The following is a 19,294-nucleotide window of genomic DNA, read 5'->3' as shown; positions in this document are numbered from 1 at the left end:
TTTTTCTCATCTACACACATACAAATCTCTATCATAATAACCTATTTTAAATTCAAATGTTTTAATGCATTGAAGACTTTCAGTAACCATTAATGAATTGTGTTGTACATTTTAATTTTTGTTTTAGCTAAAACAAATCTTATCAAAATTATACCAGAGAAATGCACAGTTAGTACTTATTTTAAGATATCATAAATAACTGATCAAACACTGGAAGCTGCCAACATTATTAACCTGGACCCCTGGAAGCATGAGGGAAAGTGCAAAGGCAATTGCAAAAATTGAAAACTAGAACTTTGATTCAAAGGCAGCTTCTGAGAACAACTGGAATCTCAAGTGAAGGACAACTTGGACTATGTATTTGAACAAATGACACCCCCATGAGCAACAATTTTGAAAATCAATCTTAGAAAAGATTGCAGTGTGATATATGGAAATCAACTTTAGTTGTATCTCATCCTTGGATTGTGGTACCAAGGGAGGTACAGAAAGTAAGCTGTCCTCTTTACCGGCTTGTCAGATCTCACTGTATTTATGCATCCAGGCCTTTTGCTATTTTGAGCTGTGAAAGGCAAGAGCCACCCAGGCTGGTCTTTAGTTCCTAGATTGAGCAGACACTTCTGACAAGGAGAAAAATCTCACTGTTCACTTGAAGCAGTGCCTATTATAGCCTCATTTTTTTTCCCTGAGAGTTTCTCTCACTAAGAGCATTGCTACTCTTATCCTATGACCTACAGAAACTGAGGAGGTGATGGGGCAGTCCCCTCATCCCTTTCCAAATGCTGACCCAGTCACCCAGGTCAATGAGGTAAAATGTAAAGTATAAACACTTCTATGCCAACTTCCCCTGTGAATTAAAGCCACTCTTTGGTCAAGAGGTTAGGTTATAAGTTCATCATGATGGAAGCACTTCTTGTGCTGTTATTATATTCTAGAATGATCAGGAGGCAACATCATAACGAAGTCCATAAAGCATGGACTTCGATACCATATGCATTTCAGGTTTTGAGTCTCTTCTACTCTCCCTTCTGAATGCATCTGCTTAACAACCTTATGATCTTTGTGAATATACTTACCCTTTCTAAAACTTTGATTTTTTTTTTATCTGTGAAGTGGAAATAATAACAACTACCCTGTGGATATGTTAAGTACTGGAAGTATCTTGCAAATAGAATACTGTCACCCCCTACCAAAATCCATCTTTCACACTTCAACAAGAGATCTTTTTCAAGTCTAGCAAATGGTCCCTCACTGTTCTCAGGATTAAACACTAACTCATCAGTGAGGCTGACAACGCCTCTGCATGGTTTGAGCAATGCTTGCTTCTCCAATTTTACCAAGCACACCTCTCCCCAACACCGTTATCCAGCTATTTTTAATTGGATCCTCTAACATACTTTGTCTTTAGGTGTTTACAGGTCTAAATTCCTGCCAGTCCCTGTCTCAATTACTTCTTTATTAAATTACATTTGTACTCATCTTTCTGGCTTTACCAGTTTTTCTTGTAATTCTTTTTTGACTATTCCAAAAATCTGAGTTAGGTGCTCCTCCCACAGATCTTCCCGTATCATAGCACTGACTGTACTGATCATAACTGCCTGTAAACTTGCCTGTTTTCACCTAATTACCTATGTTCCAAGTTCCATAATGTCAGATATGGTAGTAATCAGTATTCTCTATTAAATATTCCAATTGACCTGCCAAGTGTGCCAGAAGATTGAACTTCCTTTCAACTTGGAAGATAGTTGTGGTTATATTTCTTGCTTTGGGCCATCATCTGTGAACAGATGTGATACGGTCATTCTGGGTAGAAGCTTCAGTAGCTGATTCCCTTATCCAGTTCTCTTTGTCTTGTTCTAATGATCATGGCAATGTAGCTTGACATGGAGCCTCCATCAGTTTAGGCCCCTGAGTGACTACATGAAATAGAATTCCCTGATGTCCTGCACTGGACCTGTGGTATGTGTTAGAAGTAAGTTTTCTGTGTGTTAAGCTACAGAGATTTGGGGTTGCATAATGTAGTCTATCTTGGTTACTACAACAGACACAATATTTACCTTCTTCATTGTCACATTCCCAAGTCCTAGTAGACTGTCTGAAATAATAGTAGGCATTCAATAAGTATTTACTGCAAAAGGAATAGCATTTGATACATAATAGCTGCTGACTTCATCTCTTCCTCTTTTACCTTCTCCTCCTTCAAACTCCTCCCCCAAGCTACTTTCCTAGCTTCTGTGGACTTATCTAATTAAGTCTTCCAAGTAAATCTTCCACTATAATCAGAACATTACCCCTTAATGTCTCAGGAAGGCATAGTGCTCATTCCTGGCTCTGTGCCTTTCCTCATGCAACAGACTGGTTCTATGCTACTCCAGATGGCAAAACTAGGGACAATGAGGGCAAGTTATAGGGAAATCAGAAGCATTTTCTCACAATGATAGTCATGAACAGTGTCCAACAGTAAAGCTAAAAGCTACAGAAGGGAGTTTTTTGGTTTTTTTTTTTAATTGTTGAACATGTACAAGCAAGAGGTTTTATGGTTATCTGTGTAACAGTAGCATGGGGAAAATCATTGCTTCAGAGAGGATACAGACTGTGACCAAGAAGACGTATGGCAACTCAGAGACTCAGTAAGTCTACTTTTCCTCTCATCTCTTATCCCATAGCCTTTCTTGTTTACTCCACTTATCTTTGAAGTCTCAATCTAAATTTGAACTCTTCCATAGAGTCTTTAAAAATCACTTTAGTCATCATGGAATCTCTATCTTAAACTTCTGAAACCCCAGGCTCATACTTTCATTTTAATAATCTACCATTTCATATGTCTTACTGTTTAACCCATAGGCTGATCTTCTTCAGCAGACTATAAGTTTCTTCCCAGCAGGGCCACGTTGTATACGTCTATTGTATTCTCCAGTAAGCAGGAGTCCTGGTCCAAGCCTGACTATCTTAGCAGCCTGATTAGCTGGGGAAGCTCTATTTATCTGGAGGGGCTCTGTGGGGAAATCCTACAGGGAATTCCCTGGAAGGGACTGCAGAGAGAATGAAAGCTAGACTCGGAGTCAGGCTGGGAAGCTAGTGTCTAATAGCAAATTGTGCTTAAGACCATAGATTGATAATCAGCCTGTCTTGGGTTTTGTTACTTACTCTGCATGATAGTTGTCAAGTTTCTTAAGCTCTTGAATTAATTTGATAACTAATTCCAACAAAACTGGATTTCTGTGTTTCCAAAATGCATCTCAATCTCTGGCTCAGCCATTGGCAAAAGCAGAGGGGTATGCTGTGCCAACTCCCTAAGATTATTTTAATCAATTATGTAATACTTTCCTAGTAGATGAACAGTTACCTCCAGACACCACTGCTGTGTGTCATGCAAGCGTGCACTGCATGTGTTTGACTGTAACATCTGCAGATCTAATATAGCAGTTAATTATTTAAGGACTCTTTCTGTCTTTTCATTCATATGGTGTATGGCAACTTCAAAGCCACATGCACTTGTTCTGCACACACAGAAGACCTGCACTGTGGGAGCCAGAACTGGGCTCAATGGCACAGGTCCAAGGAAAAGATCAGTTCTCAACATCACAAACTAGGGCTTCTTTATGAAAACTTCTATATCAGGTAATATTCCTTACCAAGACTGTTTCCACATTTATTATATTAGGCCAACTCTTTTTTTTTTTTTTCTTTTTTTTGAGACGGAGTCTTGCTCTTTCGCCCAGGCTGGAGTGCAGTGGCGCGATCTCTGCTCAGTGCAAGCTCCGCCTCCTGGGTTCACGCTATTCTCCAGGCCACCTCTTTTTAAGGGGATATATTCTGCAGCGAATCTTAATAGGGCATATTTTCTGCTGCTTTCATATAAATCATACGTAAAGAATAGCTCATTAGCTGGTTAGTAATGACCTGTCTGTGGGAAGAATTTAAAAAATAATAAACAAAGCACCCATAATGAAGAAAAAGTTACTGCTCATGAAGCCTGTCTGAACAGAATGGAAATTAGGCGGAAAAATCTAAGCTAGGCCTACTCTCTAGAAAATATGTTTTCAAAGACATTGCCAGCTTTGCAGCATACCCAGCTTAATTACTGGATTTGCATTCCAGAGTACATTTACTATTGTGGTATGCTGGAAAATTATATACAGTAAAATCTCAAGCAGAATATTTAACTCTACACTGCATTTTAGAGAGGCGAAGTCAGAATCATATCATAAGATACAACTATCTATCAAGAATTGCATTTTGAAAAACCGTGGACATGGTTGGTGCTCATTCATATCTTCTGCATGTATTAGAATCCATGCCTGTAATCAATCAACACACATTTAGTAAGTGCCCATTGTGTGCTACTCACTATGCTAAGCACCAAACATATTGTATGAATAAAACACTGTTGCTTCCTCAAGCAGTTTGGGGTAGGAGAAACAACCAGCAAACCATCTGAGTGCTGATGGGAGCCAAGAAGGGGAGAGATAAACTCTTGGCTTCTGTAAGAGCGTTGTCTCTCTTAAGAAAGAAACACAGCTCCTACATTTGGGGATTTTTTTCTAACAGTTTTGTGCACTGTTTAGTTGTCTAAAAAACCCATTTGTAACCCCAGGTCAGGGAAAATCTTTTGTCCCAAATGGAGAGCTTTTATCTTAGCCTGTGTAGCCTTGGGCACAAGATATTTGAGCAATGGGGAAGATGCTTCCAGGGAGTATTTACTTGAAATATAGTTCTTTCCCATTTAAAAACCAGAGGTGCTTATAAAAGGAATCTCACTATAGCAGGCAAAGTGAGTCCCCATAAATATCTCAAAGGGCAATAACCCTTTTTTCCGTTCTTAAGTTTATGATTTTCTACAATAGCAAATAGGAACTTTGTTTATAGGTTCTGCTGTAGTCAAGGAAAAACCCACAGTCTAGATGGCTGAACTTTGTACAATTGCAGTTTAAGAGACTAAGAATGCTATAGAGGTAAATCAGACCTGATATTCAAACTCACCAGATAGAACTGAGGTACGGGAAGAGGGATAGCACAAAGCAGAAGCAAAAAGCAAAGATGATCCAGATTGAGACATGAACAACTACGACCACTTCGCAACTCCTGGTTATACCCTGCAACAACAGAGAGATTGATAGTTAAAACCACATCACTCTAGAATAATTTTAATAAAAAAGACCACATTATTTCCATAAAAGATAATCTTTTGTTGAAGAGTTCTTGTGTGTATAAATACGCACTTTGTGAATAAGGCAGGAATATCTTCAGATCTAATACCCCGGATAATTAACACGCCATGGCTACAGCTGTGCTCTACGAGGTATCTTTGTATTTACGTTAAGGATTAGTAATGGCTTGAGTTTACTTCCTGATGTGGAGTTAGTCCTTCTTTGTTTCCAGCAGAAGACCAAGTGAAGAAAGCACTCAGGTGTTGTTAAGGCAATCTACCCGAGTCCAGGTGTAACCAATATGTCTTTTTGGTTAGAAACCATGACCAAACTGGGTAGACCAGATACACTACTCTTCTTGACATTGTGTAAGGTGTTAAATAAGGTAAGAATCGTTATCCTACTTTACAGATTAAGAAATCAAATTCTTGAGTGGTTAAGACACTAGTCCAATGTTTAAAATCTAAGAAGGCTTATTCCCATCTTAGGAGCAAACAGATCTTAGAAAGGTGAAATGACTTGCCTAAAGGTTAGTATTAAACCTACTAAATAGAGGAAGGAGTGCTTTAATTCATATCCTTCAACATGCTGACCAGTGCTCCTTTTTCTGTTATTCAAGAGTGATGAATATTGATTAGGGTTTTGTTGTTTAACTTTTGCTAAATCGCTTAGTTTCTTTTACAAAACTCTGCTGAAACATTTTAGGGAATCTTGATTTCGAGTTATTAGCCATACACACTAGTACAGTACTCTGCTGGGACTCAATTTGTGCAATTTTGGCTTCTAGTGAATATTCATGATTGCATTGTGAAGAGTTAGAAATCTCTGGAAGGTAAGAACTGATAAAGAAATTGCTGACACACACCTCCAGCAGCCCTGGGAGCCAAGTAAGTCAGATTACCACAGATACAACATAGATGTCAGCTTGGCTGCATTTTATAGAGATGTAAAGTCAGCAAGAGACTATTTTGGCGCTTTCTTAATTTACATCTTAGAAAGTAATTATCATAATATTAATCTTTTAGCAATAGAAGTCTCTTTGACAGTTTTATTTTTCCTCCAGGATAGGTCTCAGAAAATTCCCTTTTGTACATTAGTGGGAAATACACATTCAGTATTTTTGTGGAAGTGAAAACATTTGCAATTTAAAAAAGAAAAAGTAAAAAGGATTAATGATCTGAGAATATTTTCTTTTCTCACTCTCCCCCGGACCCTCTTCCCTTAACAGCAGTGTCTCTGTCATCAAAACAGTGCCTGTGTTTGTGGTAGGTACTTAGGACTATCTGATATATAGAGGAATATTATTCTGAAGCAAAGGAACAGGAATCCTGGTGATGGAAGGCACTCAGTTATTGGAAATGAATTATGAAATATTTTTGTATGTATGTTTATTTATAATTCTGCTGTACTCTCAGTATACTGTTGCATATTAATGATTGAAACTTGTTATCTGGTGACTACTGATGATACAGTGAGGAATGGGAGGGAGATTTTTGTAACATACTTTAAGGTCATGAGGCTTATTATTAAAACAATGAAGCAAATCATGCAGACAAACAAGAATGTTTAGCAATTCATCTACCTCCTGACTGGGAATTCAACACTTAGCTAAAAGTAGAATAGATTGAATGTCCTGATATTGGCATATATACTGTCTTTTAATAAGGTCCTTCTATTAAGCTGGTTTAATTTTTTTGGAGTATCTTTTTTATTCTCTGTTTTCTTTTTAATTAGTTAAATGTAGATAAGATGTCAATCTTGTTTCAGAAATCCAAGATGGCTGGGAATTATCCACAGATGCTGTTTCTGTTTTCCACGGACATTAGAAAGAAGGCATGATTTCAGAAAAGTTAGATTTAAGAATGACCTCTGTAACTATTTAGTGAGGAAAGAAGGTTTTGGGGTGATAAATATTGAACTTCTAGAAGATGCTTGAGGTGTCACATTTCTCTATTCCATATAGAGGTCTTACTTCACAACATTAATAAAATGTCCCAAATGACTATGAACTATGTTTGTATTTTCTAGATACTCTTACATGCAATGACTGCTAAAGGAAGAGGCCTGGACTGTAACAGAGATTATTCTGTGTCTTTGTTTTGTGCTACTCTATCAGAATACCACAGATTAGGTAAACTCTAAAGAATAGAAGTTTTTTTTTCACAGTTCTGGAGACTGAAAACCAATAACTCTCTGGTTCCAAGATGGCTCCTTGTTGCTGTATCCTTTAGACAGAAGGAACACTGTGTCCTCCCCTGACAGAAGAGAGAAAGAGAGGAAGCCCATAAGCCCTTTTTATAGTGTCACTGATACATTCATGAGGGCAGAACTCTCATGACCTAATCGCCTCCTAAAATGTGACTACTCTCAACACTGTTGCATTAGGGATTAAGTTTCCAAAACATAAATTTTGAAGGGGACAAAAGCATTCAAACCACAGCACTCCAGTTTTTATGGAAACTACCATTTACTGTGTGTCTACTATGTGCCAGGGGGCCTGCTTGGCACTTTATTCATTACTCTTAATCTTTAAAATAATCCCGTAAGGTAGGTGTTAATATTTGTTATATTTTTCTACTTCCAGGATGATAAACTGATGCTCAGAGAGGTTAGGTTATGTAAGTAAGGTAGAAATTATATAACCAAGGTGATATGGTTTGGCTTTGTGTCCCCACCCAAATCTCATGTCAAATTGTAGACCCTAGTGTTGAAGGAGGGGCCTGGTGAGAGGTGATTGAATCATGGAGGTGGACTTCCTCCTTGCTGTTCTCGTGATAGAGTTCTCATGAGATCTGGTTGTTTAAAAGTGTGTAGCACCTCTCTGTCTCCCTTTCTTTCTCTCTCTCTCCTGCCAGCAATATGAAGACATGCTTGCTTCCCCTTTGCCTTCTGCTGTGATTGTAAATTTCCTGAGGTCTTCCAAAAGCAGAAGCTCATACAGCCCACCAAACCATGAGCCAATTAAGCCTCTTTATTTTAAATTACCCAGTCTCAGATATGTCTTTACAGCAGTGTAAGCAGGGACTAATACACAAGGCATATAACTACTAGTAAATCTTGAATCGAAAATTTGATCCCACATCTGTCTGATTCCAAAGGTATGTGTTTTGTAACATAATCCTCTCATGTAATTAAAGGACTGTATGTGTATTTTAATAGAAGGTTTCACTTAGTATGAGTAGTCCAAAGAGAAACCTAAAGACTAATTTATAAAATCCATCTAATCTCTCTATATATCTATTGAGAGGCCAATTAAAAGCTTATTCCAGATAGTTAATTTTTCTGAGTAATAAACCAGTCTTTAATGGCCATGAAGGGAGAATGACTTTGGCATCATCATAAGTGACTTGTTTCTGAATACCGTTAGGATCATCATTCGTTCATTGGAGATGCCTGCAGACTGTGATAGGTCGAGATCAGTAACAGGCTTGTGCCACCTGAGCCAGCCTGCTAGGCTTCTCTTGAAAACAAAGAAAGTCTCATTTATGCCTGGGAGCCAGAATCTAACCCAGAATAAATCAGCCTCACTGTCTCATTCGTCAGCCTGATGGTTTTAATTGTTAAATCGGAAGTTTAATTTGCCATGCTTGGATAACAATCCAATTCCAGAAAAGCATATGCATCAAGTGATCAATAAGGGACAAGTATAGAAAGTTAATTGTAAATAATTCCTGAATCCTGATGTAAATCAGAACAATAGAAAAATTCTAACTTTGCTTATTTCCCCTTATTATTTGAAGTCTTAGAGGCCTAGGGGAATAATGAATTTTATCAAATTACTTCTTACTTCATTTTTTAATCTAATAATATTTATGTAGACCAGATACAGATAAATATACACAGACTTTTTTTTTTTTTTTTTGAGACTGAGTTCTTGCTCTGTCATCCAGGCTGGAGTGCAGTGGCACAATCTCAGTTCACTGCAACCCCTGCCTCCTCGGTTCAAGCGATTCTCCTTCCTCAGCCTCTCGAGTAGCTGGGATTACAGGCTCCTGCCACCACACCTGGATAACTTTTTGTATTTTTAGTAGAGATGGAGTTTCACCATGTTGGCCAGGCTGGTCTCGAACTCCTGACCTCAGGTGATCCATCTGCCTCAGCCTCCCAAAGTGCTAGGATTACAGGCGTGAGCCACCGCACCTGGCCAACACAGACATTTTTATTTGTTGTTTTAGTTTTCTGATGACTGAACTAGTGAAAACCACTTAGGATTATAATTTTGTATTCAATCTTCACAGTAACACTGCTATGTATTAATATTATTCCATTTTACAGATGAGAAAACTGATACTCAAAACTGATCAGAATGTAGCTTTTCTGCATTTGAAATAAGCAAATTCCATTAGTATATAGAACTATATTTGGCTTTGAAACCCTGTCCTATGTGGGCGAAAAGAGAAATTTCAAATTTCTCAAGTTACAAATACAATAACAGCTTGGAAGTGACTCCTAATTCAATCTGCTTATTTTTAAAATGAAGGAAATGAAACCCAGAGCTGTTAAGTAACTTAGTCAAGGTCACACACATAAAAAAATGTGTTGTCTGGCTCAAACTAGGAATTTAGACTCTCAACCCTCAGTTCAATGATCTTGCCATCAGATCACACTGCCACTCAAATCACCAAAACTCATCCATAATGCCTACGGAAAGATATGGTTTCTAAGAATGTCTGAAATTTCAGATGGTAATTGATAGAGTTTAGAGGATATAAGTTTAAAAGTGAAAACCTTGGTTCAAATTCTGGCTGAGCAACTTACTAGTTGTATAATTTTGGGCAAGTGGTCATTTCTCAGAGCTTCATTTTCTCATCTGTAAAGTGAGCATGCCTACCTAATGTTGTTGTAATAAATAAATTGTATAATATGTGTAAAATACTTAGCCTAGACCTGGGTACATTGTCAGTGCTCCATGAATGTTCATTTTTATTATCTCATTCTACATTTCCATCAGAAATTTTAGAAGTTTAAACTTCAGTGGCAAATGTCTGACTTTATCAAAGGAAGCCATAGAGAGTGAGGTGAACAACAAAAAAACGTCCATAGTAGAGGATTAAAACCAGCTTTTCTGTATTGAAAAAGCTCCTATGATAGAGTTTGTATCTAAGCACATATATGTATATAGAGATACTAAAAAAGTATGAAGTGCCATAGAGTGCTATTCAAAATATTTTGCCAAACTCTTCTGTTCTCCATCCAAATTAAAAACCCAAGATGTATCAAAAACTGTGTCCATTCCTGTGCACTGTATAAACAATTAGTCTCTATGTTGAATTATAATTCCTAAGTATCTTTTGAATATTTGCCCTTGTTTCTATATCCTGGGCAACTGCCTTGGTTCCAGGCCTCCCTGGTGCTCACTTTACTACCCCAAAAGCCTAATCACTACATACTTTAGTCCTCTCCTCCTATGGTCCATCCTCCCAACTGCTGCCAAGATGGTCTAATGTAAAAATCTAACCTTGTCATTTCCCTACCAAAAATTCATCAATGACTCCTCGTTGCCCGAAATATTACCCCAAATCAGGTACAAGGCGTGTAGAGAATCTTCTTGAGCCATTTCTTTGTGCTTATCTAGTTTCATCACTCCTCACTCTTCAGTCATACTTTGTATCTAGCCCAGTGCTTGGCGTGTGGTAGGCATTTGAAAAGTGATGGCTGAATGAATAGATGAATAAGTAAATGAATAATGAATGAACAAATCAAAGTCTTACACATTTTCATTCCTCTGGTCTCCTTTTGAGCAAGTAGTTTCCTTCTGACCTAGTAGAAATCAGTGAAACACACAATCAATATTTTCAGGCATCCTTCAGCAAAGTTGTATTTCTTCCTTCCAGTGCATTATATACGACTTTTAGATTCTTCACACTTTTCTAGTGCTGTGAGCTCTAGCACTATGAAATAGCTACCTCATTTATTTAATTTATTATGATAATTTTTCCCATATAATTAATCTTCTATAACCTTTATTTAATAGCTACAGAGTATTCAATCTTCTGAATATATTATAGATTATTTATCTAATTTTCTATCATCAGAATTTTAGGTCACTTTCATTTATTCACATTAGGAAACATGCTTATGTGGTGTGCATGTTTCTCCAGGAAAAAAGAATTAGAGTGAACAAAATATGCTGGGTTTTAAGGCTTTGTGTATATTTTGCCAAATGCCCTCAAGAATGGTTTTACCAAATTATACTACTGATAGCAACAGGAGGCAGAATAATTCTAGGCAGAGAGGGGTGGGTCCCTGGCGAAATTCCACTCTCAAGCCAAAAAGCCTGAGATGGGGCCCAAAGTGAGAACTTATATCCATGTTTTCCCACTGGAATGCTGCCTTTTCGTAAACCACCCATGGCCCTGACTCACCCCATCCTGTGCCTTATAAAGACCCCAGGCTCAGCCAGCAGAGGGGAGAAGCAGGTGGACATCAAAGACTATGGCTGGACATCAGAGAATTTGATGCCGCGGGTGACAGAGTGGCCAGGCCAGCCGGTTCTAGCACTCATGAACTCCAGGTCCTGGTTCGTTCACTTATGCACTCCCTCCCGCAAGTAGTTGAGAGCAGCGGGCTGAGTAAACGAGGTACTCCTGCTGTGAGTTTCATGAAGAGATAGGGGAAACACCCTGCTTCACTAATACCAATAAGTTAAGAGAATACCCCAAAAATATTTTTAATAAGATAATATTAAGTAACACAAGAACTAGTAGGCAGGTATTTTTTGGTCTTATGATAAGCCTAATCACTGGTTCATCTGATACCTAGTAAATCTGTGCTTGAGCTTCAGTGCTTTTTCAATATCTTCTCCTGGTCGCTCTCTCTTTTTCTCGTTATTTTCCCCCTATAATGGCTTTTTCTTCTCTTTTCCTAGGATTAATAAATCCACAAAAACGTGTTTCTCTTGCTAAAAAATATATTTACATAATTAGTGCCTATTTGCTATTTCGGGTATATTCATCTCTCAAGTGATATTTAGTACCCTGTAATCTTTGGGTTATATACAAAGAGGAAACCATAGCATGAATCAGTGTTTTCTTTCAAATAAAGCTTCTTTTAATTCTTAATTATTATTATTTGTTAGGACCTCTCAAATAATTCTTACTTATAAGCAATGTCAGAAATCTAAGCCATTAATGAAAGCATCTTTCCTTCCAAAATCATGCCTCACTCTTAAAATTTTGCAAAATAGACATTTCAAAAATAATAGATACAAATGACACCTCATTTACTCTTATGAGACCAATGCTGTGAGAATGTTGGTTTAAAGATAAAATAATATTTAATTAATCATGTAAAATATTAATTCTGCTAAACTATTATTCTTCCAATGGCCCTAATTTTTTCATTAAAATGGACACGGTGCTTGTAATTGTGTTAGTGAGTTATAGACGTAGAGAGACCACAAGGACTTTGTGAGTGTCAAACTTCTTGGTCTGTTGCTCAGCTCACATCCACCAGCCTATTCTTTGTGAGCACAAATGACTCAGCTTGTTTATGTTCTCATTCTCATTCTTCCAGCAGCCACTAACACTCTTTCCTTTAGAGATTAAATCCTTTCAAGTCTAGCTGTGGGAAGATGCAGGGTACCCAAGTTCTTCCCCTTTAATAAGTTTTCTCACTCAGGTACACCAACAGTGGTAATAAAAATAACAAAAAAAAATTTGAAGTAACAAAGCTTTCAGAAATCTTACCAAAGTCTCATAACGTGGGGACTGCAGTTTCCACTCCCTTTCTTCAGTGCAATCCCAGACTCCAGAAGCCTCTTGTCTCCTTGTCAATACTGTCTTAAGGTATACCTTGGCTTCTGTCTTTCACCTGTTAGGACTTGGTGAGTCTTCTAAGACTCTACTAAACTTCCACTTTAAGTGACCATATAATCCCATGATTCCCTGAGATATACAATTGCTTGGGGTCCCCTGCGTTTATCCATCCCTATAACCTCATTTAAAAAGGGTCCCTTCTCTGGTCCATTCTCTCTGCCTGGTTACACATAGGTGTTGCCTGTTTGGGTACTTGCTGGGGTCCCTTTAAAATGAATTACAGAGGAAAGAAATTTTTCATTAGAAGAAAAATAGTATCAGTTGGACCAGCAAGAGCTTCACAAAAGATTCTGAAGGGGGGAAAATTATCAGTATTTAACAATGAAGGACAAGACCTTTTAATTCTAGACTCTTTGTGGCAGGGAGTGAATGACAATAAATTCCATTACTGCGAATGTCAATCTAAAGGTTGATGAGAACGCTTACTGTAATTCCACACTGCAAATGCCCACTTTGGAGAGAGTCTATGTCTTCTGTCCTCAGCCTTTAATAACTCCAACTCTGACTAAAGTTGGTCAACTCTTAGAAGTTCATAAAAAGCACAGCTGTCTATTAACAAGAAAAATGGAATACTCATGAAACCTAAGGATTTAGAATGCTCCCACTTGTAATACATTTTCCTTGTCTAAGATGAAATGATTTTTTTCTCTTTCCCATAGAACTCATTTTTTCATGATATCTTTTGTTCTGTTACATTAGAGTACAAATGTCTATGACTGCAATTAAAACTGAATGGTAAAATGTGTTAATAGGAACTAAAACCTTTTTTCTTATGGAATACAGATAACTAATTGGCAAATACATGAATGGAAACCATCAGGGCCATTTTACTAGAAAGTTCAAATTATTTATTCATGATAATCAACCCCAATCTAAAGAGGTCCAATTTCTTGTATCTTACCTAATTTTTCCCAATCAATGAATCAGAGAAAACTGACCAGCAAAGAAAACATTAAGGATCGAAACTATTTAGAATCTACATCATTTGGGGAAACTCAGATGAACTTTGCATATCTCAGCAAAGGCTAGTATCTATTGACATTTGAGTTACTTGTTTCAAAATGACCCACTAGGTATCTGGACTCTTTCCCAACTTCGTATAGCCTGAGTGGAATCTGAAAAATTGACTATTAGTTAACATTTAATTTAGGCATCAAAGGAACTGCAGCTTCAGTCTTTGAAAAAAATCTGCTTTGGACATAAAGTGAGGTCTAAATTGAAGTGATGCATTATGATGGAAAGAGCACATTGTCACATGGCACACTGCAGGGAGAGCCATGGGGGTATAGATATAAAGCATGTCCAGGTTTGACTCCCTCACAACTGGAAAAAACAAAATAATTAAATTTGAAGAGACTAGCAAAAGAAAAATTGGGTTGCCATATACTCTGCTAGAAAACAAACATGTATTACCTAAGGGGAGTTCAGAAAATTAGAAACACTGTCAGCCTCTGCCACATAATTGTAAAAAAGGAAGAGAGAAACTGTGGCAATAGAAAGGAGCATGTTTTATTTTTATTAAAAAGTGTACTTTTTAAGAAAAAATATTTTTGATTAAAAAGAAAGAGTACCAGCATAATTTACTGAAGGGACTATCCTTTCCTCACCGTTTCTTCTTTATGGCCTTATTGAAAATTAGTTGACTTTATATGCTTGGGTTTATTTCTGGGCTCTCTATTCTGTTCCATTGGCCTATGTTTCTGTTTGTATACCAGTACCATACTATTTTGATTACTATAACTTTGTAATATAATTTAACATCAGGCAGGGTGTTGCCTCCAACTTTGTTTTTCTTTCTCAAGGTTGTTTTGGCCATTTGGGTTTTTTTGTGGTTCCAAACGAATTTTAGATTTGTTTTTCCTGTTTCTATGAAAAATGCCCCTGAAATTTTGGTAAGGATTGTGTTGAATCTGTATATGGCTTTGGATAATACAGACATTTTAACAATATTAATTCTTATAATCCATGAACACAGGATGTCTTTCCATTTGTTTGTGTCTTATTCAGTGTTTTTCATCAATATTTTATAGTTTTGTTTGTGAAGATCTTGGTTAAATTTATTTCTCAATATTTTAATTTTTGATGCCATTGTAAATAAGATTGTTTCTTTGATTTATTTTTCAGAAAGATCCTTATATAAAGAAATGCAACTGATTTTTATATGTTGATTTTGTATGCTGTTTCTTTACTTAATGCAGTTGTTAGTTCTAACAGGTTTTTGTTTTGTTTTGTTTTTGGTGGAGGCTTTAAGCTCCTAGATATATAGAATTATGGCATCTGCAGACAAATAAATTTACTTATTCCTTTCTGATTTGTATGCTATTTATTTATTTATTTATTTTCTGACTACTCTGGCTAGAACTTCTAGAACTATGTTGAATAAAAGTGTTGACAATAGGCATCCTTGCCTTGTACCTTGTACTTGTTCAGATTTTAGAGAAAGCACTTTCAGTGTTCTTCTACAGATTATGATGTAGGTGCACAACATTACTAACCATCAGAAAAATGCAAATCAAAACTACAATGAGATGTCACCTCATATCTTTTAGAATGGCTTTTATCAAAAAGATAAGTGTTGGTGAAGGTGAAGAGAAAAAAGAACGCTTGTACACTGTGGATGAGAATATGAACTGGTAAAACATTATAGAAAATAGTATGTAGGTCTCTCAAAAAATTAAAGCTAGAACTACCATATAGAATCGGCATTTAATCCAGCAAGTCTACTATTGGGTATATATCCAAAGAATATGAAGTAAGTATGTTGAAGAGACAGCTGCACTTCTATATTCATTGTAGCATATTCACAATAACCAAGATATAGAAACAATGTAAGTAAACCTCAACAGATTAATGTATAAAGAAATATTATTCAGCCCTTAAAAAGGAGATACTGCCATTTGCAACAACTGAATGAACCTGGAGGACATTATGCTAAGTCAAATAAGCCAAACACAGAAAAAGAATACTGCATGATATCATTTATACATGTAATATTTTACAAAAGTCAAATACATAGAAACAGAGTAGAATGTTGGTTACCAAAGGCAGGAAGTGGGAGGCAAGGAGAAATAGATCAAAAAGTACAAATTGCAGTCAGGTAGAATAAATAAATCTAGAGATCTAATGTATAGGATGAGGACTGTAGTTAATAATATTGTTTTGTGCACTGAAAATTTGCTGAGAGTAGATTTCAGGTGCTTTTTACCACACACACACGCACACACACACACACACACACACACACACACACCCACACACGGTAACTATGGAACGTGATGAAACGTTAATTTGCTTAGCTGTAGTAATTATTTCGCTATGTATATGCATATCAAAACAATGTTGTATACCTTAAATATACACATTTTTTAAAAGAAAGTAAACAAGAAGCTATGACACTTTTCTGAGTATTTATTGGTTCTAATGATAGCCCATTAAAAGGAGGAGGAGGAAGAAAAGGAAAATAACCCTTTGGTCAGAATTTGAGGAGTGCTAACATTGCTTGTATTTCTATTAGTAAAGAACACATCATGGTCATTTTTTGTTTTTTAGTACATTAGATGTCCAAAAGGTAACAATCAGAGGTAAATGGCATGGTGGTAGCTTGCATTACAAAATACATTGATGCATTTCTCAGTTCTAAGGCTCTGGATCAGCAAGAGTATTTGGCACTAGCTTCATTTAGTTCATTATTTTATCCCTTATGGGCAATAATAATTCTCCTCTTATTTTTTCCAAAGTGAGTATTTCAGAAGATGATAGGTCCTATTTCTCAGTAGCTGAGAACAGAAGGAGGTCACTTATGTGAATCCCTATGATCAGCCCTCAATGCCATCCTGGAGGGTCTCTCTACCAAGAGGGACCTGAAAAATCCAGCAGTATAATTATTCATACTCAGAGCTCAGAATTTCTCCACAGAAGCAAATTCAAGCGATATAACCTGACATTCAGCAGCAGCCTAAAGTCAGCCATAAAAATGGGTATATTTGGCATTAAATCAATAATAAAAAACAACAGTGCTTTTAGATGAGGCATGCACATTTCCATTTGACAGAGGATCCACTTCTTTCTATCATTTTGGCTTCATGTGTTGCAGATATTTTAGGTACCTGCCAAACAAGTCCTAGAGACATTTGAGTTCGAGCAAGCCAAACTCTGTCTGCCTAGTTCTCTCTCTGTCTCACTATCTCTCTTGCTCTCTCTTGTTCCCTCTCTTTCTCTCTCTGTGCTCATTTATTTTTTTTCTTTGTGTTTGTCTCAGCTTACCCTCATTTCTCCTCTTTCTTTCTTCCACCCCTCTTAGTCTCAGCCTGCATTCTAAGCAGTAACTTTCCTATCTAGAATGACTACCACCACAAAGGTAGGCTGGGATACTGAGACAAACAGGGAGATTTAGGAAGAAAGGAACTGTATAAAATACACATGTCATGCTCTATATTTGCTGATTATTATTCTAGTCTTTGGAAAATAATTGAGAAAAAACCTTTCTCTAATTTTTTGAAATAATAAACATTATGTTGCTGGTTCTTCCTTTTTCTTTTTCCTTGATCACTAGGAAGTTCAAGGTTAAATTCTGTGCTTATAGTAGAAGGTGTCATTAACCTCTTTTTCTAGGATAATTGTCTCCTCAATGGTACAGCTCCTCTTACTTTAAAATTATCATTACTAATCACCTTATGCCTGTGGTGTAAATTAAGATGACTGCATATTCGGGGCTACTCTTTTCCACTGAGAAGTACTGTCTAATTTATCTCCTTTGAGTCAAGGCTGCCTTAGTGATCTGTTTGACCACTAGAATGTGATGGAGGATACACATGGAAGGTTCTGGGACTTCAGAGGTTCATTCTTTAGAAGTTTTCCAGCTTCTGCTCATGCATCTCGGATCACGAGGGACAACTAGCTGCCATGTTAAGCCCAACTATCCCAAGATGACATACTGTGAGGAAGCTGCCTGGGAAGAGTCCATCAAAGTCCTGAGGAGCCCCAGCTGTCCTAGTCATTCCAGCAGAACCAAAGACATAATTGAAGGGCCACTCTGAGCATTCCATCCCTAGCAGGGGTGGCATGGAGAAGACCCATACAACCTGAGGCTCTAGATATATGATCCCAGAAATTTGCAGTTGTTCAAATCACCCCAGTAAATTGTGGAGCAAGGGCAAACCATCCTACTGTTTCGTTTCCCAAGTCCTGACACACAGAATTGTGAGCAGAAAAAAGTGCTTGTTATTTTATACCATTAACTCTTGGATTAGTTTGATTACATAGTATTAGATAAGTGGTTTTTTGATTATATATGGCTTTTATTGTAAGCCACTTTAAATCCTTTTTAGAAGCAGACATTTCACAAGTAATTAAATAAACTTTCTTTACTGATAATCAAGGAGAAGGAAATTCTTCAGCTGCTGACCATTGTACTTTAAGTTTATATTTTTTCTTCTTTTTAAACTTTACATCATTCTCTTAATTTTAGATTGGAAAGACAATTATTTGTACAAACTCCCAAAAGCTGTAGGCATTAAAAAAAGTTTGCATACAAGCTCAAGTGAGTTGTTTGAATTATGCAAGAGCATAAACTGCAGTCTTTTCTGTGCCTCTTACGTGTTGTGCAGAGGTACAGCCAGCACCTGGCATTGTGTCTAACAACCCTTTGTCATCGCATTGGTCGTCAACCATGCCAAACCCATTGGGTAGCACTGTCTACAGTTGAATGACAATATTTAAGTCCCCATAAACCAATTTTTCATTCTTAAAAATATCCTGAATGTGGACAATTCTTTTCGGTTGGAACAGTTATGGTTTTGCAGCAGGAATATTACAATTGGGAAGATTATGCAAGTAGCTTTTCTAACACATACAACAATGAATAAGATAAGCTGTACTCCACAGACAAACTGAACTGCATCTCTTGACCATTATGCTGATAAAATATTTCAGTAAATCAGTCTTTACGCTGTCCTTGGGCTTTTGCAATCTCAGCTGCTGCAACTGTATAATGTACATTGATTTCTGCTAGAAATTCAATGGCAAGAAAAGCTGTTTAATCATTTGACTCCTGACTAGTTAATAAAGAATCTGTCTCATTTAATAAGTTTATTTTAGATAAGACCACCATTACTGCCATGATCCTATATCCCTTTCTACTTCATTTATGGGGGAGAGAAATAAATGAAGCTTCAGATGAGACAATGCCACTGTTATCTTCCCTCTGCTTTCCTTGATCGTCTCTATGATTTGCAAGGCTGTCTCACTATCCACCAGTGAAAGCCACTTAATCATCTACTGGATAAATTGTAAATACACAGTGATTTTTCCATGCCTTAGAAATCACTT

General features: G+C 37.0%; 1 long non-coding RNA gene across 7 annotated transcripts in view; it reads right to left on the bottom strand.

The window, feature by feature from the left end:
* LOC102723370 (uncharacterized) overlaps positions 1–19,294 on the bottom strand; it is a 366,694-nt gene that overhangs the window by 131,838 nt on the left and 215,562 nt on the right. For 4 of the 7 annotated variants that reach the window (XR_007062619.1, XR_931110.3, XR_007062618.1 and 1 more), the window contains one exon: positions 4,984–5,096. This is a non-coding gene — a long non-coding RNA (uncharacterized LOC102723370). Of the gene's footprint in view, positions 1–4,983; positions 5,097–10,861; positions 10,911–11,908; positions 12,083–19,294 lie in introns of those variants that run through there. The other 3 variants (XR_931111.3, XR_007062617.1, XR_931115.3) reach the window with 2 other exon arrangements.

The sequence above is a fragment of the Homo sapiens genome, chromosome 11 (genome assembly GCF_000001405.40).
Source record: "Homo sapiens chromosome 11, GRCh38.p14 Primary Assembly".
Taxonomy (NCBI): domain Eukaryota; kingdom Metazoa; phylum Chordata; class Mammalia; order Primates; family Hominidae; genus Homo; species Homo sapiens.
The sequence above is the reverse complement of the archived record's forward strand: the minus strand, read 5'-3'. Positions and strand labels throughout refer to the sequence as shown.